Here is a 26890-nt window from a genome sequence, read left to right as displayed (position 1 = left end):
TTAGGTCTTCCAATCTATGAACAAAAAAAAAAAAAGAAATTTTCTAAGATATCTCTGGTGACAAGAATGCTTTAAGTCCAGACTGGGATGGTGTGGGTCCCATCCCCATTATTTCCCTTCAAGGCCCTCTCTGATCCTCTACTCATTGTGGGATTGGACAGATACCCTGAGAAGCTATAGGTTCAGAGGGTAACCTGATGAGTGGATCATTCTTGCTGGCCAGCACAATATTTCTTTTGTGGTATGATATGGAGACTGGGCCTCCAGAATGGTACTGACATGGTGATTTTTGGGTGACTCTCACTCATGTCAGATACAGAACAAGTTCAAGGCTCTGGACTTTGGATGATTCACTGCCTATTCTTGAGTTTAAGTTATGTGTGTACACCTATGTGTTGGCTTTCGCCTGTATGTGTTCTGACCATGGCACCACCTCTTGTCTATGGCAATCTTTCGTGAAGAATGGCAGCAGGTTTGCTTTATCCTTTGCACTCCACTGGTGTCCAAGGGACTCACTCACCCTGTCTTCAGGCTCCAAGCCACATGTCTGTTTGGCAGTCCTCTGGAAGTTACCATGCCTATCTTTTCTGAGGGCTTTAGAGATTACTGCTCTGAAGCCTCAACAAGCCATTTGGATCTATGTCCTCTCATACCTCTGATCGACATGACATGCTGTCCTGTTGATCTTAAGCCATGCAGAAGAAAGGATGAACATTCTTCGTGCAAATGAGACTCATCATTTCATTCTGCCTATTGGCCCCTCTTCCATCCTCCCCACTTGTGTTAAGGGTGAAGATGTGGTTAACATTGGAAGAAACCACATTCTTGAATGCAATGATTGTAGCAGAAAAAGTTCAAATATATATATAATTGGACTTATATTGGTCTATGATTATGCTATAAAATTCCAAAAAATAATCTTAACATGATTAGAAAACAAATCATCATTCACATTTTCCTACATACTCTGGGTAACACTTGTACTTGGTTATCATCAGTGAACCCCAGCAATGACCTCTGAGGGAGTCTTTGTAAGCTGGTATTCATGGATGGTGTGACGGATGCTGCGGTGTCATGAGTAATTATGTTAACAGCATTGCATCATGGTGTTAAGGAGCTGCAGAGGCAAAAAGATCTATGCCATGTCAATACAAATAAATTCCAAAGAGCCATGACAGTGGAACTTCTTGAGGGGAAGGATATTAAATTAGTCAAGAACTGCACATTCGATGATAAAGAACACAAAGAGGTGGTTCCTGAACCTGAGATGATGTCTAGAACTTATGAAGAATCTTCACGTGCACCACTTGAGCAATAAACAAATGTGTAAGCATCTCTTCTCTATCCATTAATCACTATACCTCACACAGACCTGTAAGTTTTGGAATGAATTCTAAAATTGTGTTGTTTACATAGGCAAGTACCCTACAAAAACTATCTTTGCAGGGCACTGCACACCCTAGGAGTGGCCCTGGAGATTTTTTAAAAAAACATATTTTTAGTGCCAATATTTCTGAAGAGCTAACGCTTCCTGCCTATAGGAGTGTTCCTTGAAGAACTTGGAGAAGTGGATGAAAATCAGAAGGAAAAACAGGACAAGAATTTACGAAAACAGCAATGAGAATTAGGAAGGATATGACTTAATGGTGGCAGAAACACATGAAAATTTCCCAGAAGTAGATAGCAGAAAAAGCAGTAAAATGTTCAGAGGAAGTGCACAGGAAAATGTAAAAGACTGGGGCCAATGAAAAAACCCAAGATTATACTAGAAAGTGTGTTAAGCTAAGCTGCTGTGGCAAAGAGACTCCAAAACATTTAGGCTTACCCCGAAGCTCATTTCTGTTTGCATGATAGTTTATAGATAGGTAGTGCTACAGAGCTGGTTAGGTGGCTGTGCCATTCTTATCATGTGGCTCCCACCTATGGCTCTAAAGCAGTTAGTCCAGCTCTTATCATCTCTCAGTCAGTGGGATGGAGAAGAGGGACTAGTGGAGTACATGTCCAGTTGCTTTAAGGGTAAGGTCTGTGAGTGGTGCCCATCATATCCACTCACAACCTATCTGGCCAGAACTTTGATACATGGCTACACCTAAATGCAAAGAAATCTTGTAATAGATGGGTAGCCGTGTACCCAGCTAAAAGTCTATTACTACTGAAGGAAGAGAAAATTGATTTGGGGAATTAACTGTTTCTGTCTGATATGGACTTTAAGCACTTTAAGCAAAATTAGTTGACATAACTGAGGCCAGGAAATGACCAGTTGCAGATATGAATTGCTCTCTCTTCTAGCTCGAACTCTGTCTTTACTCGAAGAATCATATGTTTGGGAGTTATATAATATCAAAAGATTATTCTTCCTTGGTTTCTTGAAATGGCACGAACTTCTTTTGTATTCCTTGTAATGCCTAGCGTGGTGCTGGGGAGAGACAGCAAGTGCTCAAGAGAGCATTCATTTATCTTGCTTTCATTTAAATAAATATGGAAACTTTAGGGAGTTTATCCACCAAATATCTGAGATACCAAAGCTAACCTACCTATCAAGCCCAGATAGGTGATGAATGCAACAGATTCAAGAACTCCAGGATCAAGTGTGGTTCCATCATAAGCAGGTATTGTTGAAGAAGGGATGGTTTTTTGTTTACAAATCTTGCACTTTGTAGAGACTACTGAGTTGCAAAGAGAGCTTTGCTTTTACAGCAAGTATGAAACTCTGACTATGGGAGATAATGATAGGTTTTTAGTGCTGAATATAAATTACTCCTATGTATCCAGAATCTAAATAACCAGGAAGCTCAACCAACTAGAAAAACAAAACAAAATAGCAGGTAAAAGACTTATGTTAAAAGCGAACTTCCAAGAGATGTCAGGATTGGCTTTGTATCCATTTGTATATCCATTTATTTTTCTAGACTAAATATATATGTACTACTGGCAATTATTATTAATGTACCATATGTTTCCACCATATTTAATAATTAATCTTTGAAAAATAAATTTAGATTGTGTTAAGGTGCTTAAAGAAAATCAGTTGAGAGGGATATAATATAACATTATGGAAATTATGATGAAATAAATATTCTTTTCAGTGTTATTGTTGAAATGATTTCTTATTCTTAGAAACTCCCAGCTATACAGGATGGATTATTATCATAGCATAGCATTCTCCTTCTTAGCCCTTAATTGCCATTAAAGTCCAGTTCCTGTTTTAAATAATTTGCTAGTTATCAAAATAATGTAAAGAGATAGGGCAAAGGGGCATGAATATACAATAAGGCAGATGAACAAATTTCAACTGTATTTATTAGTTTGTACAAAATATTCCAGAAATAAAGTAGAATAATGTTTAATTTACAAAAATTACTTGATCTTTGTAAATTTTGGCTTGCAAATTAATAATGCTGCAGTCTTTAGTGTCTTGTTTCTATTAGGATGAAGTTACTTAAAATTTAAATCTTAAAATAATTGTTTACATAAAATATTAATTTATCTTTAATGTTCATTGTCAGTTGCAAAATAAAAATGGGCTAAAATATTTCATACAGTGATACTGGTTAAAAACTAGAGAGTAATATTTGATGTATTCAGGTTTCAGCGGTGCATCTAACCTTTTAACCCTTATGCAGTGTTTAAGACCAGCTTGTGCATGTAGTTCCAAATTTGGAGTGATTTGTTCCCTGTCCAGAGTACTAGAACCCTAGAAAACTTCAAAACAGTTCAAATCCATGGAATTTTGATGGGCTATTTTCAAATTCCATCAAAGTAAGTCATTATTACTATTACTTTTTACAATCTATATATTTATTTTTCTTATCCTTTCCTTTTTTTCAGAGATGGAGTACTTAAATTCAGTCTTATAAACTGAATCCTATCAAAATTAATACACAAAATATATTATTGTACCCGTATGAATAATATCCTCTTCACTGTTTCTACGGAAACATACCATTTTAAATTCATTATAAATACATTCTAAGTGCTATTATCTTGTTGCTTAGGTAATCCTAAAAACTGAAAAGTGGTCAGCAAAATAAATAGCACCTTGCGTAAAACAAAACGTTAAAGCGTTTCTTTAACAGTCGTGGGATGTGAATCTGATCATTTTAACCCTCATGTTTGTTAGACACTGCTTATTTGAGCTGGAATTTGCTGGAATATCTGTTATTTATCTGTTATATACTGTACCAGATCCAAATGATATATTGTCTAATTTTATTACTATGTTCATTACCTTATTGGAAACAATACAATTTTGTCCTGATACAATATGAAAAAGACTATTTCTTTTCAACTAGGGCACATTTAGATTTGTTTTTGTTTTACTGTTGATTTCCAAGAGTGCTAAATAGTATCTTTTTGTTACTATGTATACAGACTTGCACAAATTTTCATAGTTGTAGTTCCATTAAAGGCACTGGACTCCAAAAAATTATCTAAAGTATTTTTGTTTTCCATTACTTTAAAAGATTAATTGAATAAAGCATTGTGGTGGATCTGTGGCTCCATTAATCATTCTGAAATTGATATGTTTAATTCTGGATTTTGTTTTTGAGAGAGGAGATAACTGTCAATCAAATATTGAACAGAGACCCTAGTATTTCTTTTAAGTTCAAATAAATCTGGGAGGAAATTGCAACTTTGTTCATACTCCTATCCATGGAAGTAGATACTCATGAAGTATCATAAATAGAATTTTGCCTTTAATGGGAAGGCAAAGCTAATAAAGACATTATATTAAATAAATAAAATTGCCTTTGAAGCTTATTTGGCTGCCTTGTGGGCTGTGTGTATACATGAGTGTTTTCAAGTAGGTCCTTCCAAAGCCTGAGATGTTTTGTTTTATATAACGTTTCTATCAGAAATACCAATTGTTCAAGAACACCCCTGTCCACACTGAAGAAAAACATGGAAATATTAAATAGAAGCAAGTTCTCCAGGGGACTACGAAAAGGCTGCCTGCAAGCATTGCATGAATCACTGTCTCCACCTAGTGCTAGCTTTTAAGAATTAGGATTCCAGAGAACTTACTGATGCTGTAAAGTTCTAATTTGTGTTGTGCACATGTGTTGTCATTATAGCTGGGCCAGCTAGTGCCATTACAGTTAAGGGTCTGTCAGCTTTTCATTTATAAAGCAGAATATTAAGAGTTCTATTGCTTTTACATGAAAGGTCAATCTGTGTCAGAACTCTGCAGTCTAATAGCCTTTGCTCTATGTTAATGTTTATTAACAGTGTAAGTTGAACATGACCGGCTCATTTTAAAGACACCCTGATGGGCTGAAGTTATATAGGCACTGCAACCAGATAATGAAAAACTGTAGAAGTAAACTAAGATGTGATTTTATATCCATACAAGTATGCTTATATAAGATATATACATATAGTTGTTCTATTATATATTTATACTTGAAGATTAAATTCCATCCCCAACACCCAACTTCTTGGTTGAGAGATAATTTAGATTGAATTTAGACTCTTTTATGGCATACTACCTGAGAGTATGATCAGATAGAGATTTAGATTGCTCCTCACCCGTGTCTTTTGGGTGCTTCAATTCGAGTTTCCTAGTAAACAGTAGCCTGAAGAAGTTTATATGCTAAGGTTTATTAGGAAGGGCAATCCCAGGTCAGCAAAAGTGAAAGAAAAATGAAAGCAGGGAAGGGAAGGAGGGAAATAAAGTACCAGGTGGAGTGTGATGGATTTGGCCATAGCTTCAAAAGTAAACTCACTTGGGACACGTTTCATCCAGGTTTGTAGGACCCACATATCTTGGGAAGGAAAGGAAAGGGATTTATTTATTGATTCCTCTTGTCCCTAGGTTCTAATTAGTCAAAGTTTGCCCCAAGAGGCATTGAGTCCCCCTCACTTCTGGATTATATAACTGATCCTCCGAGGACCTTTTAGGCAGTCACTGGGGAAGCCAGAGCCCATGCCCTGTGGGACAATATTTTATCTGAGACAGGAAGTGGTGGAATGACTGGTCAGCTCCAAGAAGTGGAGCACTCCAGTAGTTCAGTGGGTATGAAGGAACACTCCATACCCATGAGCATTCCATAGTTCAGTGGGTATGAAGGAAGCTGTGCCAAAGCCTGGCCCTCTCTCTGGGAGTATATAAGAGAATCAGTGCTGGTAGAAGACGAAGTGACTACAGTGGTCGCCTAAGATCTTCACTGAACATGTGAACAGGGAGGAGAATGGGGCTGAGCGAATTTGGAGAGGCACGTAAACCGGGCCCAGTACAGTCTACCTCTTAGGCCATTCAGATCCACTTGCACCTCTAACAATATCCCTATCTTATAGGAGAATAAGATGCCCTCAATTCTGCCTCAAGGGGTTGGGGTTATAGTTAAGTACTTCAATGTGGTCATCCGTTGCAGTCTCCTAAAATGACTCAAAAAGGGTTTGCAAATCAAGCCTCAACCTTCACTGCTGCAGTTGGTCCTAAGACTCTGATTGGAAGGCATCAACTTCCTCCTCTTCCATCAATTTTAGATTTCTCTTATTCTTGGCCAGTGCTTTGACTAGTGTGAGTTACTTTACCCAGGACTTTATCCTTGAGAAGTCTCAGCCCTTAATGTATTTGCCCATACTAGACTATGACTGATGCAATTGCCCCTTTCCTCTATTCACTGGGCATAGAAGCACTACCAAATGTCCCCAAGGTCCCCTGGGTTTCAGACCTTTGCCTCCACTGTGTAGGGGCAAATTTCAGTCCTCATGGCAATCAAGATCAATTCTCCAATCACTCCCCAGGTCAGTGGAAGACTTATTGCATCCACTGGCAGAAGTGTTACCACAGTGAAAATCAGTACCCAGCAAAGCCTAAGGTTTTAGAAATAGGAATACAGATTCTGAAGTAGCTTTTTGAAAGTGATGGCAAGAAGGGCCAGTCCTCCCTCTACCATTGGTTTCTGAACCCATGTATTCTAGCTGTTAAGGACACACCACCATGTAATGCTGGGATTATTGCATATACTGATCCTTAGGATAACACCCCAACCTTACCAGTGTTACCCCAAGCTGGAGACTTAGTTCAGACTTCAGGGCCATTCTTTCATTCTCTGATGCCAACTGCTTCTGGGAGATAATGTACAATGTAAGACAGGTGAATCTTGTGGTTCACTATTGCACATCCTTTGCCATAAAATGGGTCTCTTAATCTGAGACAATGTTGTGTGTGATATCAGGTCAATATATAAACATTCTGATGGGGCACTTTGGGCATCCTGTCCACTTGGTTGTTGAGAACCTCTTCTGTGATAGATGCTCTCTGGTAGGCATTTACATGACAAATAAAGATTCACGAGCTTTATACCCTCCCCATAGATCCATCCACATACTTTTTCCTCAAAATTCCATTTCCCTGATCTTCCAGTTTTGTCTTCTTGAGGCTTCTGATCAGCAGGTGAAATCATTAATAATGTGTCAATGTATATCCACAGCTCTGGTTACCTATACTTTCTACAAAGTGGATGATCAAGTATTCCACTCACAGCTCAACCTAATGGGACAATTTCTCACCACTGTCCTTCAGGGACACATCCAAGTGGGACTATAAATGTAACAGCAGTGCACTCTGACCAGCACTAACACATCACACTGACCTCTTTGTGAACCAGGCTTGAGTTCTTCTGCCATTAAGTCAAATAGTCATAGAGAAACTGTCTTCAGGCCATAGGTGTAAGTTAAGGGAGAGGAATCAGTGCAAAAACCTGGATTTGCTTGAGCCTGAGCCTAAATATTTCACTTCCATTGTACAATATAGGATGTCGTTGCATCTGTCTTACCACATGTCATGAAGGATATTACCACACCCAGCTCATGATGGGTGGCTCAGTTTTCATAGTCACTTCACCATGCATGTCCCAGTTCTTAGTTTCAAAAACAGTGTTTCAATAAACCAGGGATTGTTTTTCAAAAGCACAGTTGTTTTCTGTTGCAAAGAGGATGATCTTGCTCAACAATCTTAGGACCAACACTGCACCTCTCTTACTGGGCTTACCAGAGACTTAACACAGAATCCTTTATCACCTCAGATAACTTTAGTACAATTGGGTCTGCCAGGTCAGAAGGAGGAAATACCCTTTGTCAGATGTTTCTGTTAGTTCAGGTATGTTTTAAGAAAAGACCTTTGACTTCGGTAATGTAAAAACCCTGATGAGGCAGTTTCATTGGAGTTTCAGAGATGAAAATCTAATAGGAATGGTTTAGGAGAGAAAGGGAAGAGAATGAAAAAGGAGATGAGCCTTTTAAGGTCTTTGCTGCAAAGGGACACACAGAAATAAGGCAATAACTAGTCATGGATGTGGGTGTAGAGAGGGTTCTTTTTTCCATGTCAGATTGTCAGACATTATGCATATGGAATGATGCAGAAGGGAAGGAAAATTAACAGCAGAAAGCAGGAGCAAAGTCCTAGATGAGGGAGGATAAGGGTCCGAGGCACAAGCACAAGTATTGGCCTTCAATCAGAGAATAGACAGCTCCGCTATAGTGGAGGGCAGGAGGGCAGGCAGAGTGTATGGGTACAGAGGTAGGGAGCTGGGTAGATTTGCTGGTGGGAGGATGAGGAAAGTCTTCTGACCACTTCTATTTTCTCAGTGAAATAAGAAGGGCTCCAGCAGACATTGAGAAATGGGCAGTGGGAAGTGAGAGGTTTGATGAGAAAGAAGTCATGTGCCCCTCAGGGGTTGGAGTCAATGGGATGGAGGAATGCAGTGAGATGGCCCAGCAGTGCTAAGGGTCCACTTGAGGTTTGTGGTTATAAATTTAAAAGAGTAGTTGTCAACACTACCCGATCTCATGCTCTCTCTTTATAAAAAATATATTTTAATGACTTCTTTATTATCCTAAAATAAAATTTATAGTTAAGATAACCTACCCACTAATGTAATTTTAAAGAAATGGTTGACCAGTAATAATTATGGAAATAAAAGAAAAATAACTTTAAAGTAAAAGTAATATATATTATAATATAGATTCTCAGCACAGCTATTCTGGACAACATTAAGTTTGCAGATACTTGCTCCTATGCATAGAACGAACTGGATATGTGAACTATAAATACCAAAGGATACAACTATGTTGTGTTGGTGACTCAAATACCATAAATGGTATTGCTATCAATGATGTGATTTTTCCAAAATAGTGAACAACATAAAAAAAATCAGAGTTTCCCTACTTGAGATATTGGAGGGAGCTGAATTTCTATAAAATTCAGTGTGTATGAAAAAGTACTTTGGGCTGGGCATGGTGGCTCATGCCTATAATCCTTGCACTTTGGGAGGCCAAGGTGGGAGAATTACCTGAGGCCAAGACTTTGAGACCAGCATGGGCAACATAGCTACACCCCATCTCAATAAAAAAAACTGGTATCATTTTGTAAAATATACTTTGGCTTTAGACTCCAATTTTCCCCAACATGAATGCTCAGAGGGAAATTTGAAAGTCTGTGAGATGCAGGACAAACTTTCCCATATTTTGAAGGATATTTGGTATTCTTGGTCTCCTGCCAGTTAGATGACAGTAGTGTCATCTAATCATTGTGACAACCAAAAAAGTCCTCAAATTCTTAAACACTCCCTAGTATATCCGTACTGCTCCCCAAACCACATTGTGATCTGATCATTTGTAGCAATTTCATTCATGGTTGTTTGTGTTTTTCTCCAACCACTGATCAACTCTTCAAGTATAGGCTTTGAGTTGGACTTAACCAGAGTTGGTTTATTTATTTATTTTTTAAGTTAATACAGAGAAGGAGAAGGGGCAATGGGTTGAGGGCAAGCACAAGACAGTGGCTATGACGCTGGACCATGAATCTTAACTGAGTACAAAGGGAAGAGCCTACCTGGCAGGGAGGTTACGGGGTATAAATAGGTAATCAATGCAGTGGCTTGGATAATCTGGAAGAGTTGAGGAATTATTGGAATACGGATACTTAAATACATGAACTAGAGAAAAAGGAGGTGGTGGTGAAAGGGTGATGGTGTTGAAAACAGGATTTTGAAAGTGGTGTAGTTATTTGTATTGACCAGTTTGAGGTTGTGTTCATGGGAAGGGTAGGCTGATATTTGAAAAGGGGTTAAAGTCTTGGGAGGCCCTGAGAGGCCAGGGTGGATTGTCTACTCAGATAATGAAAAGATGTTGGATAATTACAGGAGCAGAGAGGTAGAGAGAACAAAAGTAAGCCAGGATAGTAAACTCTTCAATAAATGAGAAGAGAGGATATAGGAGAACTGATATAAATGCAACTAGGAAGTGAAGTAGGTGTTATGGTCTATTGATATGTGCTTCAAAGCGACTGGGGATCTTTGGAAGTGGATGGAGTAACAATAAACTAGATATGGCTATGAGAAACAACAAAGCAAGCTTTTATATCTTCAGGCCCAGAAGATATTGACGTGTGAATGAGAAAACTACAAGAAAGGTTTTCAAAAGAAGCGGGTTCTTGGAGGTAGACCACGTATTCCAAAAAATAAAATAAAATTGGTGTGATTTAAATATATGTGTTCCTGTTACTTTCACCTGCAGTTGTAGGAGCTTACCGCCTTCTGAAGTTGTTCGCTAATATTCCAATAACTCAAATATGTTGTCTGAATTAATGAACTTTCCATTTCTCTTTAGACTTCAATTTGGGTTGCTGGGTATTTGTTGTCTTGTATGTAGCCAACACTCCACGAAACAAGACATATAAAAAGCATTGCTCAGATAATGAATTTGTAATTTCACAGAGCAAAGAAGAGAAATACAAGGCCAAGTACTATGGATGGATCTGATGGGGCTAAGGGATCTCAGAAAATTTGCAGGCTCAGATGACCATCATGTGCACTGGAAAATTATGGGTGATGCACTGCTCCTGCACTCTCATTCATTAATCAGTGATGTATTGCATTAGTAAATGTCCATCGTTTCATTTCTAGGACCAGTATTTCTTAGCTATTATAATTATGCTCTTGCCACAATGTTACATTTTATTGGCTAATACTGATTTAGGAATTTTACATCTTTAATTATAAATACAATTGCTGTATCACTTGTTAAATTACCACTGACTAACTTTATTATGAAGCTTATCTCCCCTTCATGGGATGAATTAACTAGTTTTCTGTATCTTTATGGTTTAAAGTATTTTATATCACATGAAAAGATCTGTCCCATGTTCTGCAAAGATATATGATCAGGAGCTCGTTTTTAGTATTTTCTATTTCAAATCTGTGAGGTTTTTTCCAGAAATTAATTTATTCATTAGAATTGTTGTATTTAGGCTGGGCGTGGTGGCTCACACCTGTAATCCCAGCACTTTGGGAGGCCGAGGCCGGCAGATCACGAGGTCAGGAGATCGAGACCATCCTGGATAACACGGTGAAACCCCGTCTCTACTAAAAATACAAAAAAATAGCCGGGCGTGGTGGCAGGCGCCTGTAGTCACAGCTACTCCGGAGGCTGAGGCAGGAGAATGGCGTGAACCCGGGAGGCGGAGTTTGCAGTGAGCCGAGATCGATCGAGCCACTGCATTCCAGCCTGGGCGACAGAGCGAGACTCTGTCTCAAAAAAAAAAAAAAAAAAAAAAAAGAATTGTTGTATTTATTAATATATACATGCATAATATACTCTTACTTTTCATTTTGTTAATGTTAACTATTTAGCTCAATTTTTCTGTTTGGTTTGTCTTACATTCTTATTCATCTAGATTTATTTGCAAGAGATTTGCTATTATATTTTTTATTTCAAAGACATATTTTGGGGGTTGTTTCTACTTTTTGCCTACTATTAATAGTGCTGCTGTGAACTTTCATGCACAAGTATTGTTTGAATACGTACTTTCAAATCTTTTGAGTTTATAAACCTAAGTATGGGATTGCTGGGTCACATGGCATTCTAATATTTGACTTTCTGAAGAACTGCCAAACTGAAAAACACTTCTTTGGACCATTCTGCTGAGGGTCTACTTTCCAAGTTATTGATTTCTATTTGAACCTTTATTATAATTCCCCTTCACATATTTTTCCTTAGGACAATTTTATATTTAAAAAATAATAATTTGAGTTGAATGCTTTATTAATTTCCCTTCTCTACTTAGCTTTTAATAAATTAGCACTTAATATTATAAATTTATCTTTGGATATAATTCTACATGTATCCTGTAAGGTTTCAAGTACGTTATTTCATTGCTTACTAAATAACTACTGATCACATTTTTCCCCCCCATCTGGTATGATAGAGTTTTAGGGAAGAAATGTGTGTTTACTTATAATTAATATATAATTAATATAATGCTTATGATAATAAATATAATACTTATATATAATGTAATTAATATAATTACTATATAATTAATATAATATGTGGTCGAAATTTTAAAATTGCATTTATATCTGATTTTATTTTCTCATTTGTCACAATATATGACTTATTCCATTTTTATTTCAAAACTATATTAAAGTTTACTTTGTGTATATGTGGCAAATATTACAAATATTCCATGAATTGTTGAGAAAGATATGTTCTCCATTAGCATGTTACAGTGTATATAAATACTTGCATTTATTACTTATAGCATTCAGATATTTTGTTTCTATTACTTTAAAAAATTTATCTGGTACTTTGCAATCTGTTGGTCTTTTAATAATGTATCCCACAATAATTGTATGTCAGCTAACTTCTCTTTTACTGTCTAAAGTTTTGCTTAATTTTTATGTTAATATTGTTATTTATGTCATTGTTATTATAAAAGGACTGTTATTCTACTTTACCTTTTGCCTCAAATATAGTTGTCTAGCAATAACATTGCCAATTTTGCCTTAATGCTTTCCTGATTTTAAAATTTATTATTTTTTAGTAAGTTACTCTCATTTGTGTCTCTTTACACAGCAAATTTTCAGATTTGGGTTTTTAATTCAAACTGAGTTTTTGCCTAGTGTATAGTAAGTACTCAATGAATAAAATGAATATTTTAAAGTGATATTTAACCTTGCTAAATTTCTTTTTGTTTTTTATCTTTTGTTTTAGGTGGGCCATAAAACATGAAGGAACCAGTAAGCCAGGCCAGTGGAAACATTCTAGAGTTGAAAATCCTCTATGGAACAAGCTTACCTACATGTGGCCTGTCCTTCCCAGTGGCCAACTTAATGAGGTTGTGTTGCTTAGCTTAAGAGATGGTCATTGAGACTTACTTTAAGGCCCAGTTGTGTGGTCAAATTCCTGACAACTTCCATATAGCTTTTGAATTGCAGCTGTTAGGTGCAAGATATCAAACTTGCTAATTCTGTTGTTCTATCAATTAATTAGATGTGTTTAAGTCTCCCATTATGGAGATGAACTTATCTATTTTTTCTTGTAATCTGTCAAATATTGCTTCATATATTTTGAGATTTAATTCTTAGGCACACACGTGTTCAAAATATTATATCTCCCTGGTGGATTGAAACTTCTATTATTATGTAGAAACTGTCACTAGCTCTAGTCACTAGTCTCATTTATCCAATACTAATAGAAACATTCCAACTTTCTTTTGGTTATTATTTTCCTAGTATATCTTCTTTCCACCCTTTCCTTTCTGTGTTTATATGTTCTTCTGTTTTAGAGGGGCTCCCAGTAATCAGCAAGCATATGGTTCATTTAAAAATTTTATCTGGCAATTTTTGTCTGTAGTCTAAAGTATTTGGTCTTTTCTATGTGTTGCAATTACAGGTGTGAATTGTATTTGGATTATTATGTGCTTTCTATTTGTCCTGGCTTTTCTGTTTTCTCCCCTCACCCCTTTCTTGTGTTCTTTCAGACCAAATGTTTTTTTTCTCATTACATTTTCCCCATCAACTAGTTTGGAAATTATAACATTTTTATTCTGTTTATTTCTGAACATTTTAGCTTGCATACCTAAAATGATCAAAGTTTAAAGATAACAAGTATATTAATTTGTTACTTTCTTCTGTCAAATAATCCAATCATATGATTTGTGACTTATATGCTATTATAGTAATATAGTGTAATTTTATCTTTTAATAATTTTCCATTAGATCACATTGTGTGTAGTCAATATATATTTAGAGTTATCCCCAATTTTTCATCTTTCTGGTTATAATTTCTTCGTATGTTCCAGTCCTTCCACCTGGGCTACTTTCTTTTAGCTGAATACAACCTTCTTTTAGTTATTGATAGCAAGCTCTTCTCATTTTTACTTATCTGAAAATGTCTTTATTTTGCCCTTATTCATGTAAGGTATTTTCACATAGCAAAGCAAATACATCATCACTGACTTCTACTTTCCATTGTTGTTATGGAGAGGTCAGCTGTCATTCTAAATGTATTCCCATGTAGGTATCTATCTTTTTTCTCTGGTTGGTTTTAATATCTTCTCTCTGGTATTCTACAGTTTCAGCACAATATATCTGGGAGAAGATTTCTTTTTATTTATCATCCTTCAGATTCTAAGATTCTTTGGGGTTCTTGAATCTGTGGATTGGCATCTTGCAGAATTTCTGGAAAATTATCACCTATCAACTCTTCAAATATTTTCTCTCTTATATTCTCCCACTCCCTTATTTTTTCTTTAAAAATTTATTTATAATTATTATGGACACGTTGTATTTATACATAATTTATGAGATACATGTGATGTTTTGATACAGGCATATCATGTAGTGTGTAATGATAAAATCAGAGTAATTAGAGTATCCATCACCTCAAGCATTTATCATTTCTTTGTTTTAGGAACATTCCATTTCTACTATTTTGGTTATTTAAAAATATACAGTAAATTGCTGTTTAGTCATTCTATCGTGCTACTGACTACTAGATCTTATTCATTCTATCTAAACTGTAGTTTTGTACCTATTAAACAACCTCCCTTTATTCCCTCCTCCCCGCTACCTTTCCCAGGCTCTGGCAACCATCATTCTAGTCTCTATCTCCATGAGTTAAATTTTATTTATTTTTTTGCTCCTATGTATGAGTGAAAACATACAATATTTGTCTTTTTGTGCTTGGCTTATTTTACTTAACAAAATGTCCTCCAGTTCCATGTGTGTTGTTGCAAATGACAGGATTGCATTCTTTTTTATGGCTGAAATACTTTACTGTGTATACAACATTTTCTTTGTCCATTCATCTGTTGATGAATACTTAGGTTGATTCCATATTTTGCCATTATGAATAGTGCTGAATAGTGCTGCAATAAACAAGGGAATGCAGACATTTCTTTGATGTATTGGTTTCCTTTCTTTTGGATGTATATCCAGTAGTGGGATTACTGGAACATATGGTAGTTCTATTTTTAGTTTTTGGAGGAACCTCCACACTGTTCTCCATAATGGCTGTACTAATTTACATTCCCACCAACAGTGTAGGGTTGGTGGGAGAAAAGGTTTCTCTTTCTTCTTATTCTCACCAGCATTCATTGTTGTCTTTCTTTTGGATAAAAGTCATTTTAACTGGGGTGAGATGATATCTCATTGCAGTTTTGATTTTCATTTATCTGATGATTAGTGATATTGAGCATTTTTGCATATACCTGTTTGCCATTTGTATGACTTCTTTTAAGAAATGTCTATTCAGCTCTTTTGCCCATTTTTTATTATTATACTTTAAGTTCTGGGGTACAGGTACACAACGTGCAGGGTTGTTAAATGGGTATACACTTGCCGTGGTGGTTTGCTGCACCCATCAACCCATCATCTATATTAGGTATTTCTCCTAATGCTATTCCTCCCCTAGCCCCCACCCCCCGACAGGCCCCATTGTGTGATGTTCCCCTCCCTGTGTCCATCTGTTCTCATTGTTCAACTCCCACTTATGAGTGAGAACATACGGTGTTTGGTTTTCTGTTCTTCTGTTAGTATGCTGAGAATGATGGTTTCCAGCTTCATCCATGTCCCTGCAAAGGACACAAACTCATCCCTTTTTATGGCTGCATGGTATTCCATGGTGTATATGTGCCACATTTTCTTTATCCAGTCTATCATTGATGGGCATTTGGGTTGGTTTCAAGTCTTCGCTATTGTGAATAGTGCCACAATAAGCATACATGTGCATGTGTCTTTATAGTAGAATCATTTATAATTCTTTAGGTATATACCAAGTAATGGGATTGCTGGGTCATATGGCATTTCTGGTTCTAGATCCTTGAGGAATCACCACACTGTCTTCCACAATGGTTTAACTAATTTACACTCCCACCAACAGTGTAAAAGCATTCCTATTTCTCCACATCCTCTCCAGCATCTGTTGTTTCCTGACTTTTTAATGATCGCTATTCTAACTGGCGTGAGATGGTATCTCATTGTGATTTTGATTTGCATTTCTCTAATGACCAGTGATGATGAGCTTTATTTAATATGTTTGTTGGCTGCACAATTGTCTTCTTTTGAGAAGTATCTATTTATATCCTTTGCTCACTTTTTGGTGGGGTTGTTTGCTTTTTTCTTGTAAATTTGTTTAAGTTCTTTGTAGATTCTGGATATTAGACATTTGTCAGATGGATAGATTGCAAAAATGTTCTCCCATTCTGTAGGTTGCCTTTTCACTCTGATGATAGTTTCCTTTGCTTTGCAGAAGCTCTTTAGTTTAATTAGATCCCATTTGTCTATTTTGGCTTTGTTGCCATTGCTTTTGGTGTTTTAGTCATGAAGTCTTTTCCCATGCCTATGTCCTGAATGGTATTGCCTAGGTTTTCTTCTAGGGTTTTTATGGTGTTAGGTCTTATGTTTAAGTCTTTAATCCATCTTGAGTTAATTTTTGTATATGGTGTAAGGAAGGGGTCCAGTTTCAATTTTCTGCATATTGCTAGCCAGTTTTCCCAACACCATTTATTAAATAGGGAATCCTTTCCCTGTTGCTTACTTTTGTCAGGTTTGTCAAAGATCAGATGGTTTTAGATGTGTGGTGTTATTTCTGAGGCCTCCGTTCTGTTCCATTGGTCTGTATATCTGTTGTTGTAGCAGTACCATGCTGTTTTGGTTACTGTAACCTTGTAGTATAGTTTGAAGTCAGGTAGCATGATGCCTCCAGCTTTGTTCTTTTAGCTTAGGATTGTCTTGGCTATGAGGGCTCTTTTTTGGTTCCATATGAAATTTAAAGTAGTTTTTTCTACTTCTGTGAAGAAAGTCAGTGGTAGCTTGATGGGGAGAGCACTGAATCTATAAATTACTTTGGGCAGTATGGCCATTTTCACGATTTTGATTCTTTCTATCTATGAGCATGGAATGTTTTTCCATTTGTTTGTGTCCTCTCTTATTTCCTTGAGCAGTGGTTTGTAGTTCTCCTTGAAGAGGTCCTTCACATCCCTTGTAAGTTGTATTCCTAGGTATTTTATTCTCTTAGTAGCAATTATGAATGGGAGTTCACGCATTATTTGGCTCTCTGCTTGTCTATTATTGGTGTATAGGAATGCTTGTCATTTTTGCACATTGATTTTGTATCCTGAGACTTTGCAGAAGTTGCTTATCAGCTTAAGAAGATTTTGGGCTGAGATGATGAGGTTTTCTAAATATACAATCATGTTATCTGCAAACAGAGACAATTTGACTTCCTCTCTTCCTATTCAAATACTCTTTATTTCTTTCTCTTGCCTGATTGCCCTGGGCCAGCCACTTCCAATACTATGTTGAATAGGAGTGGTGAGAGAGGGCATACTTGTCTCATGCCAGTTTTCTAAGGAAATGTCTATTCAGCTCTTTTGCCCACTTTTTTTGTTAGGTTATTTGATTTTTTTTTCCTATTGAGTTGTTTTAGCTTATGCATTCTAGTTATTAGTCCCTTCTCAGATGTGTAGTTTGCAAATATTTTCTTCCATTCTGTGGGTTGTCTCTTTACTTTGTTGATTGTTTCGTTTGCTGTTGCAGAAGCTTTTTAGCTTGATGTGATCCCATGTTTTCATTTTTGCTTTGGTTTCTTGTGCTTTTGTGCTGTTACTCAAGAAATTCTTCCCAGACTATTCTTGTGCTGAAGTTACTTCTTAATGTTTTCTTCTAATAGTTTCATAAGTTTAGGTCTTAGATTTGATAATTTAATTCATTTTGATTTTATTTTTGCATATGTTGAGAAATAGGGGTCTAGTTTCATTCTTCTGTATACGGATATCCATTTTCCCCCAGCACCATTTATTGAAGAAGGTGTCCTTTTCCCATGGTATGTTCTTAGCATATTTGACAAAAATGAGTTCACTGTAAATGTGTGAATTTATTTATAGGCCATCTATTCTATTCATTTAGTCTATATGTTTTTATGCCAGTACCATGCTATTTTGGTTACTATAGCTTTGTAGTACAATTTCAAGTCAGGTAATGCTTCACTCTGTTCCTTATAGAAATCTGATTAGGTGCACACAAGACCTTATTTTGACTTCCATGTCTCTTAACTCTTCTTTAATATTTTTCATCTCTTTGTATCTTTATGATGCATTTTTGCATCTTATTTTCAGACATTTTTCTTCCATATTATTAATTTTCTCTTCATCTTTGTCTAATATTATTTAAACTCCAAGGATCAACCTGTGATATGAATCCTCAATGATTATTTTTCTTCACACAGTGAAAATGTTTGAGATAGTCTGTTTTACTTGTAACATCCTGGAAAAGTATTATTTATGGTTTACGTTTTCAGTGAAATTTAGCCTGTTGTGATTCTTGTTTTATGAAGGGAGATGGTCTCCTGTTAGATTTCCTTTCTTGGCTGACCTTTGGAATATGTGTCCTGAGCCCTTCCTCTGCAAGACCAAATTCCATCCAGATAAAAGCTAGGTTGAGCATTCTGCTTATCTCTCTGGATCTCTAGTATGTAATATTTTATTTCTAGGTCAATGGCACAGTCTAAAAGATTTTTTAGAAATAATTTATCCTGACTTTTTAGTTGTTTGCAGCAGAGAGTCAATCAACTTGTCTAATTTGTCATATTTTCTGGTCTCAACCAAGTTTTTATTCTTTCCTCTTAAAAATCATGATCCCCTGTGCTTTCTCACTGATTGAATCAATGAGTTGCAGCACTTTTGATCATGAACAGATGGAGTCTGAAGCCAAGAAGTCATTGTTTTGGCCCCTAAAGATGTTCTTAAACTTAGACTTTAGTGAAGCAACAGTCTGGAAAACATAAGTTTTGTTAAAAGAAAAAAAGAGTTATTCAAAATAGCAAAAGCATTGTGGTGGGCAGTCTAAGCCAGTGGCTGGATGAATTAATATGTTTGAAACTCAGGGTTTGAGGGCCCACATGGGGCCAAGCATGAAGGGGTGGCATGGAGAGACAAGGAGGCCAAGCATGAGCCAAGAAAAGACTGAATTGCACCGATTTCTCTACAGAGGTTTAAGGAGGATGAGGCTAAAACCAGAGATCAGGCAGGATAACGTACACCACTGCTGGTGGTAAGCAGGTGCCAGCAGGTTGCCTAGTAGCCAAATAGGGCAAGAGGAATATCCTTAGAGGCCTCTGAGAATCCAGGACATCACAAGTACCTCCATATGGACACTGTGGACCTCTTTCCCAATGGTATATGATTTATTGAGTTTTCATATGAACTCAGAAACCATCTTCAGGGGGAAAAGTGTATCTCTGAAAGGAAACAACAGTCCTGTTAAGAAGTTTGAACCTTCAATTTGATTGAATAGGTACTCAAAAGGACAGAGCTAAAAAACGAACAAAAAAAGAGGCTGTTTTAAATAGGCAGAAACTGGGACACTTCTAGTTGGAATATCAAGCTTCCCACCCACCTAATGGATGGGTGGTGAACAGAGCTGCCTCACAAGAAGATACTTTTTTTATGTAGGGAAAGAGAAACAATTATAATTATTACAAATTTCATAGATTGTGCATATCTATCTATAGATAGATAGACAGACAGACAGATAGATAGATAGATAGATAGATAGATAGATAGATAGATAGATAGATAGATTTTTGAGATGGAGTTTTGCTCTTGTTACCCCGGCTGAAGTGCAATGGCACCTTCTTGGCTCATTGCAACCTCTGCCTCCTGGGTTCAAGCGATTCTCCTGCCTCTGCCTCCTAAGTAGCTGGGATTACAGGCATGTGCCACCATGCCTGGCTAATTTTGTATTTTTAGTAGAGGTAGGGTTTCACCATGTTGGTCAGATTGGTCTTGAACTCCTGACCTCAAGTGATCCACCCACCTCGGCTTCCCAAAGTGCTAGGATTGCAGGCATGAGCCACTGCACCTGGCCAATATTGTGCATATATATATATAACTTGGCATAAAAGTACAAGTAATTCAGTTAATTAATTGATTTAAGTGATTAATGGTAATTATATTAGAAAACCTAAGTGAACAAAGTTCCTTTTAATATTTACTTTAAAAATGACATTTTTGGCCAGGCGCGATGGCTCACACCTATAATCCCAGCACTTTGGGAGGCTGAGGCGGGCAGATCATGAGGTCAGGAGTTGGAGACCAGCCTGACCAACATAGTGAAACCCCGTCTCTACTAAAAATACAAAAATTTGCCGGGCATGGTGGCAGATGCCTGTAGTCCCAGCTACTCAGGAGGCTGAGGCAGGAGAATTGCTTGAACCCAGGAGGCAGAGGTTGCAGTGAGCTGAGATTGTGCCACTGCACTCCAACCTGGGAGACAGAATGAGACTCCGTCTCAAAAAAAAAAAAAAAAAAAAAAAAAAAGACATTTTTGTTGATGGTCTGTGATTTGACAATTACATAATCTTAGGCATGAATACAAACTACTTCAAAGTTCTCTAGGCTATTCAAACAGAACAGTAGCTTTTGTGTGGAGTAGATAAATTACTGCACCCCAACAAAAATCTGTCCCTTACTTGTAAACCAAAAGGAAAGAACTAAGGCACTACAGTAGCTAAAGATAGACAAGTTGACTATGTATTTCAAAATGACTCAGTCTAAGGGTCCTCCTACTTATTGAAATGTCTGAGGAAGAGAAGAGAATACTTACCAAGCAGGGAAACTCAAATTTAAAATTAAATACAGTGTATTTCACTTAAAGTCTGAATCCACCTTATTTGAAGGAACCATATTTTCTTCCAGTCCTATTTTCAAGCAACTGATTTTTTTTTAGCAGAACAAACTCTATTTCAGTGAACAGTTAAATGCAATTCATATTTTGGTTGGAAAGCTTTCCATATAAATAAACTGTGATTAGGAAATGTGACACTCATATTGTGGCATTCAGAATACTTTGGGTACTATAAGCATAAATAATAATTTTATACCGGATTTAAGTTTCCAACTTTACTATTTATCTAACCATTATGTCTTACATATTTAGGCAATGCAGACAGAGCAAGGAAGGAGATAGACTTGGTTCCTAAGTTCATGAAGCTTACAGATTAAGAAGTATAAGCTATGAGTCAACAAGGAAGAAACAAGAAAAGGAAGGAGACAGAGTTGATGAATAAAGGAGAAGGAAGGGAGAGAGAAGAAACTCACAGAAAAAGTTTGGTGTTCCAGAAATCAAGGCTATGCATTGAGCCAGTTTATTTAGTCATATAGTCACTGTGAAGAAAGATCAGCTGGGCTGATTGTCCAAATGGGCCTGAAAATTAAGTAAAAATACTAAATCTAGGAAAACCATCTAACAAACAACACCCTGAGTGAGACTCCAATTCTCCTGTTAGTTCCTTGACAAGAAACTTTCAAAATAGAATGATGACTAAGGAAGTATGAACAATATAGAAATATGGAATTATCTTGGTAATGTCTCAGACTGCATTAATACTAAAAACTATGTACCTCTCAGTGGTGACAGCTGCTTTGAGAACTGATTTCATGCTGTCCTCACTTTTAAATATTATTCATACTAAAAGGCAATTGATAATATTTTTATGAACAAACAGCATTTAATATATCTAGGGATATCAGTATTTTTTAAATATGGTAAAGCCTTATTGAAAACCAACATTAATAAATTCTTTTGGTTTCTTTTGTGACTAAGTTCACTGGAAAAAATTAGAGGAACTCAAGTTATTTTCTCACTCTATGGGGGAAAAGTTGTGAATTGAAAAATTGTGCTTCTAAACACTTAAAGGTAAGGAGCAATGGATTTTCATATTCAAGGAAGGAATTGTGGTAAAAAGTAAGATTAAAAAGATGTACGATTTTGGAATGAGCTGTTGGATAGTTATTTTAAAGTATCTAAATTAAAATATATCCATTTGGACGGGCCATGCCAGACAGAACAAAGCTAAAAGTTTATTACTCTATTGAGAGATGATAATAAGTAGCTACCAGAATAAAGAGGGGGGAAAAGGAGACGTGGGAAGGCTCAGGAGAGAACATTGAAGAATATATTATATTGTTAATAGCAAATAGATAAAAGAGGACTAATATAGCTATGAAACTTAGATTGCTGGTTAAGAGCTGGACTCCCAAAACGAACACATGCTCTCTCTCTTATGAGAGAGAGATAAAAAAAAAAAGAAGAATGATCAATTTAAGGGAGCACCACAGCTCATCTAGGGTCTCCCGACTGTGGAGCTGTGACATAGAGCAGTGTGAACACAGAGAAAACCAATAAAGACATGCATGGGAACATAAGAATTCCAACTGAGAAAATGGAGGGAGAAGAACCAGCACTCCAGTCAGTTTAATTACATATCTGTACTTTTTGTTGTCCTTCATTATCCCAACGCCTTATTTCTCTATGTCTATGAAGGACAGAATGAAAGTGCCTGAAACACCAGAACGAGAATTAAAGCAGCTTAAAGGAAGAACCGACAGTAGTAGTTAACATTTGTAAAGTTTTGAAACCCAAGTTAACGTTTTAATCTCATTTAATTGGGTTTCTGTGATGTCTCACATTAAAAAGAGAAGACTCTTGGGCTTCCTTCGTCTAACTGGAAAGTAAAAGAAGCCATCCAAAGACAGCAGTGCTTCAGTAGTGCCAAAGCCAATGTCTGCAGATGCTACCATTTGCCATGGGACAAGTTGGAAGTGAGAAAATGTAGAAATAGCTAGGAGCTAAGACAGCACACTTCAGATATGTTCATCAGAAATATAGCATACTTGGGATATTGAAAAGAACAGTTACACACCCTGAATCTATGAATCGACATGTATCACAGACAAAGCATGAAGGAGAATCTTGTTTCTTTTGCCTTTCCCTGCCATGGTTCAGAAAGAAAGAGATATATTAGCTATTTTACACCAAGACTTCAATGCAACAGTAATTTTCTAATGAGATTCCCTCACCATCTCTCTCACCTACCCAACCCTTGCTTCATGATCTTTTATGACTGAAACTAGTATAAAAGTTGATTTTCTCCATCAACTAAATTGTTCAATATCTCCGCTATAGAATAGTTACAGACAAATCCCAAACATACTTATTGAAGTTATGTGACTCCATCCCACTACTTCCCTTTATACAACAGGCCAATTTCAAATAAAAATATACAATGAAGTTGTCATAACCTTTGATAATTTATTCTCAGTAACCATAATAAGAAAAAACAGCCCCATGTTGCTCCATTCATAGATAGCAGACACTTATCTAAATAAACACTTGATCATCTACCCTCTGCAATATTATTTCTGTACTGGTGAAAGTTTCTCAGTGAGGTTTAGGAATAAAATGAAGCTTCTGTAGTTCAAATTTTTCTTATTTAGAATTGTGTTAAGTCACCCTTATTGTTTGTCGCTGTTGTTAACATGTTTACCAAGCAAGATATTCTAGTAAAAATATAAAGGAAAAAACATTTAAACTGAAATCATTCTGCTCATCTGATTTTTAAACACTTATTTATACTGCTTTTCTCCTAATTAAATGCAATTAATGGTATTTATGCACTCATCTCACAAATTTGTGCCTCATGATTAGATGCTTTTTCAGTAATCTTCACAGTTTTCAGATTTTGTTTATAATTTATTTACAACACTTTCTACAACATAATTGCAAGATTCAAAAACTTTTCAGGGAATGTAAGTTAATATAATAATGTATGTTGTCCTAGCTTTTAAAAATTTTGGAATATTACTAGTAAATTTCCAAAATTTTTAAAATTTAGAAAATTACTAGCTTTGGAAATTTTAGATTGACTAGGTAAGGCTTCATTGAGGTGATATTTGAGTAAAGACCTGAAGAACAAGCAGATCTCTAGGAAAATAGCATGCCAGGAAATGTAAACAACTGAGATGATGTGTTTAAGGGACATTGAGGTAAAATATGACAGAAGCAGTGTGAGTGAGGGAGAGGGCAGCAGGGGAGAAGGTCAGAGAGAAAATAGGAGGTACTGATCATGCAGGGCCTTCCATGTCATTATAAGGCCTTTGGCTTTTAGTCTGAGATAGAAAGCCGTGGGAGGGTCTGGAGCAAAGGAGTGATATGCTCTGACTTAAGGATAAATAGGATCATTATGACAATAGAGTAAAATGGGCTGAGGTAGAAACAGGAATAAGCAATTGGAAGGCTTTTGCAGTCTCTAGCTGAGAAGAAATAATTTCTTGGACCAGGATGGTAGGAATGGAGGTGATGAAAAGTAGTTGGGTCCTTGATATAGGGTCCTTGATATAGTCTAATAATGCAAGCACATTTAACTGATAGATTAAGTTAAAAATAAATAGCTAAAATAATTTTATAAGACCATATATTAGAAATTTACAAAGATGTTTTAACTAACTTGTGAGACGAAGAAGAAAGCATAATGAAAATTTTAAAAAGGAAACATTTAGAATCAAAGCAAAAGGTGTTAGAATCAGCTAAAGCATACTTGAAGGAAATTTATAGCCTTAAATGCTTATATTAAAATGGAAAAGAGGCTAAAAATTAATGAGATAAGCATCTGTTCTGCCAATGGTGACAGAATGAAGTCAAAGAATTAGAAGGAAAGAAATAGTAAATTGTAAGAGCAGAAACCAATGCTCTTACATCAGAAATAGATGATTCATATAAACCAGAGTCATCAAAGTCAAATTTAGGTTCTTTGAAAATATTAATAAAATCGATATAATTGTCAAAACTGATTAAGATAAAAAATAATAATATTAAAAATGTTACCAAAACTCCAGGGGTTCAGTCTAGGTCCTGCTGCTTGTCACACAGAAAGCCAATCACTGAGACAACCAATATTGCCAGGCAAGAAGGCTTTAATCTCATTTAACTGGGCTGCAGCCAAGGAGATAGGAGATCAGTTTCAGATCTATTTCCCTGGCCCATTAAAATTAGGGGTTTATATAGCAGGAAAGAAACACAACCGTGTATGGAAAAACAGGAACTGGGGAGAGGTAAAGAAGAGGGGTTGGTCAACAGGAAGCAGGTGGTTAGTTAGGCAATCATAACAACTGGGGGTCTGGCATCTCATTGTCCAGATACAGTGATCTGGTATGTTTTAGTTCCTTGATGCTGTCTGGGAGGCCTGATGATTGGCTTCCTGAGAAAGGAACTCAGATAAGACAAATGTAACTTTCTCAAGTTTCGAGACTGGAAGGGTCAATTTCTATGTTTATTCAAGACAAATGATTAACATAAGTTCTATGGGATAATTGGGCCAGTTTCAAGAATAAAAGATATGAATATAGACACTGAGATTCAGAAGATTGCAAAAGAATATTACAAGTAACTTTGTGCTAATAAATATAGTAGCTTAAATAAATAAAATGGCCAAATTTCTGGACAAAAGTAATGTAACAAAATGGACCCAAGAAGAGACAGCCTTAATAGTCCAAAAACCATAGAAAAAATAGAATCAGTAGTCAAAATTTCCACACAGAAATAATTTCATGATCTAATAGTTTTACTGACAAATTCTACTAAACATAGGAAACAAATATTTCAGAATATAAGAAAAGAAGTGTGAAAAAACCTTTTAAATGGTCCATTTTCAAGACATGATAAATCAAGTACTGACAGCCAGCCTGCAAATGTAACAAACTGCTCAGCTCATGTACCTAGAAGGTCACAATAAGCAAACAAAATGTAGAGGTGGGGTCAGCTCATTAAAGAGAAGAAAGTTTCATTATTGGGAAATTGAAACTTAAGAGAGGAAAGGGACGGTTTATAACCTTACAAGGGGAATAATGAAACTTAGGCAACATTTGGGAAGATTTTAACCCCATAGTTCTCAACCAGTGAGGAACTGGGAGAGGGACTTGTGTGGTGAGGGATAAATTACCTGTTGTGACTGCCCTGGATGTGCCTGCTCACCAGACACCTGATCTTGCAAGACTGTTATTAAAAACTCTCACTTTTGCTGTTCTTTGTGCCTCTAAGTCCATTCTTTGGGTTTGGACGGGTGAGTGTGTTTCTCACAACCTGGTGGTCCATCCAGGATCTCTGTGCCTGCATAGAGTGGGACTCCAGCCAAGAGGGGAGAGGTGTCCCAACCAATTTAGGTGGCCCGCTCTCTCTGGGTGTCCCAGCTCCCCACTGAAGCCATAGATAAACCTGAGACTGTTATTCAGGAGACAGTGGAGGTAACAGGGAGAAAAGCAAGCCCTGCGGCAACCAGGCAACCTCGTGCATGAGCCAAGATAGGAAAATTGGACTATAAGTACTGCCTTGGTAGTTGGGCATTTTCAGAGGTCGAGTATGTGTGTCTGAGATGTATCCTAGATACAAAGCAAGTGTGGAGTCCCAGTCTGTGGTTCCATTATCCCGCGAGGGAAACAGCTGGAGACAGACAAAGCAGTTGACTCACAGGGTGTAAAAGAAACCTCCAATAAGGGGGGTTGAGTACACAGGAAAACTCAGACATGAGGACCAGCTGAAAATGGGAAGCAAAAATTCTAGGCCTAGGGAACAAAGGAAGGAGGGAGCCAACGTGGCCCCCTCCAACATTCCCACAGATAATTCACTGGGAAGGATGTTACAGGCTTGGGGAAATAACCCCCAAACTATGGATAAGGAAAAACAAAAAATGATAAAGTATTGCTGTTTTATCTGGCCCAAAGACCCCGTTAGTATGCCTTCGGTCTTTTGGCCTAAGATTGGCT

At 36.7% G+C, this 26890-nt stretch overlaps 1 protein-coding gene across 18 annotated transcripts in view; it reads left to right on the top strand.

Annotated features, from left to right (window-relative positions):
* The window catches only part of DCDC1 (doublecortin domain containing 1), a 506137-nt gene that overhangs the window by 404169 nt on the left and 75078 nt on the right, over positions 1–26890 (top strand). For 15 of the 18 annotated variants that reach the window (XM_024448478.2, XM_024448476.2, XM_024448475.2 and 12 more), the window contains one exon: positions 13003–13126. The exons of 1 other annotated variant lie outside the window; for it this stretch is intronic. In XM_024448478.2, coding sequence (XP_024304246.1) covers positions 13003–13126 — 124 coding nt within the window. Of the gene's footprint in view, positions 1–13002; positions 13127–21230; positions 23364–26890 lie in introns of those variants that run through there. 2 more of the 18 variants (NR_170625.1, XM_024448483.2) reach the window with 1 other exon arrangement.

This window comes from Homo sapiens, chromosome 11 (genome assembly GCF_000001405.40).
Source record: "Homo sapiens chromosome 11, GRCh38.p14 Primary Assembly".
Lineage (NCBI taxonomy): Eukaryota > Metazoa > Chordata > Mammalia > Primates > Hominidae > Homo > Homo sapiens.
The sequence above is the reverse complement of the archived record's forward strand: the minus strand, read 5'-3'. Positions and strand labels throughout refer to the sequence as shown.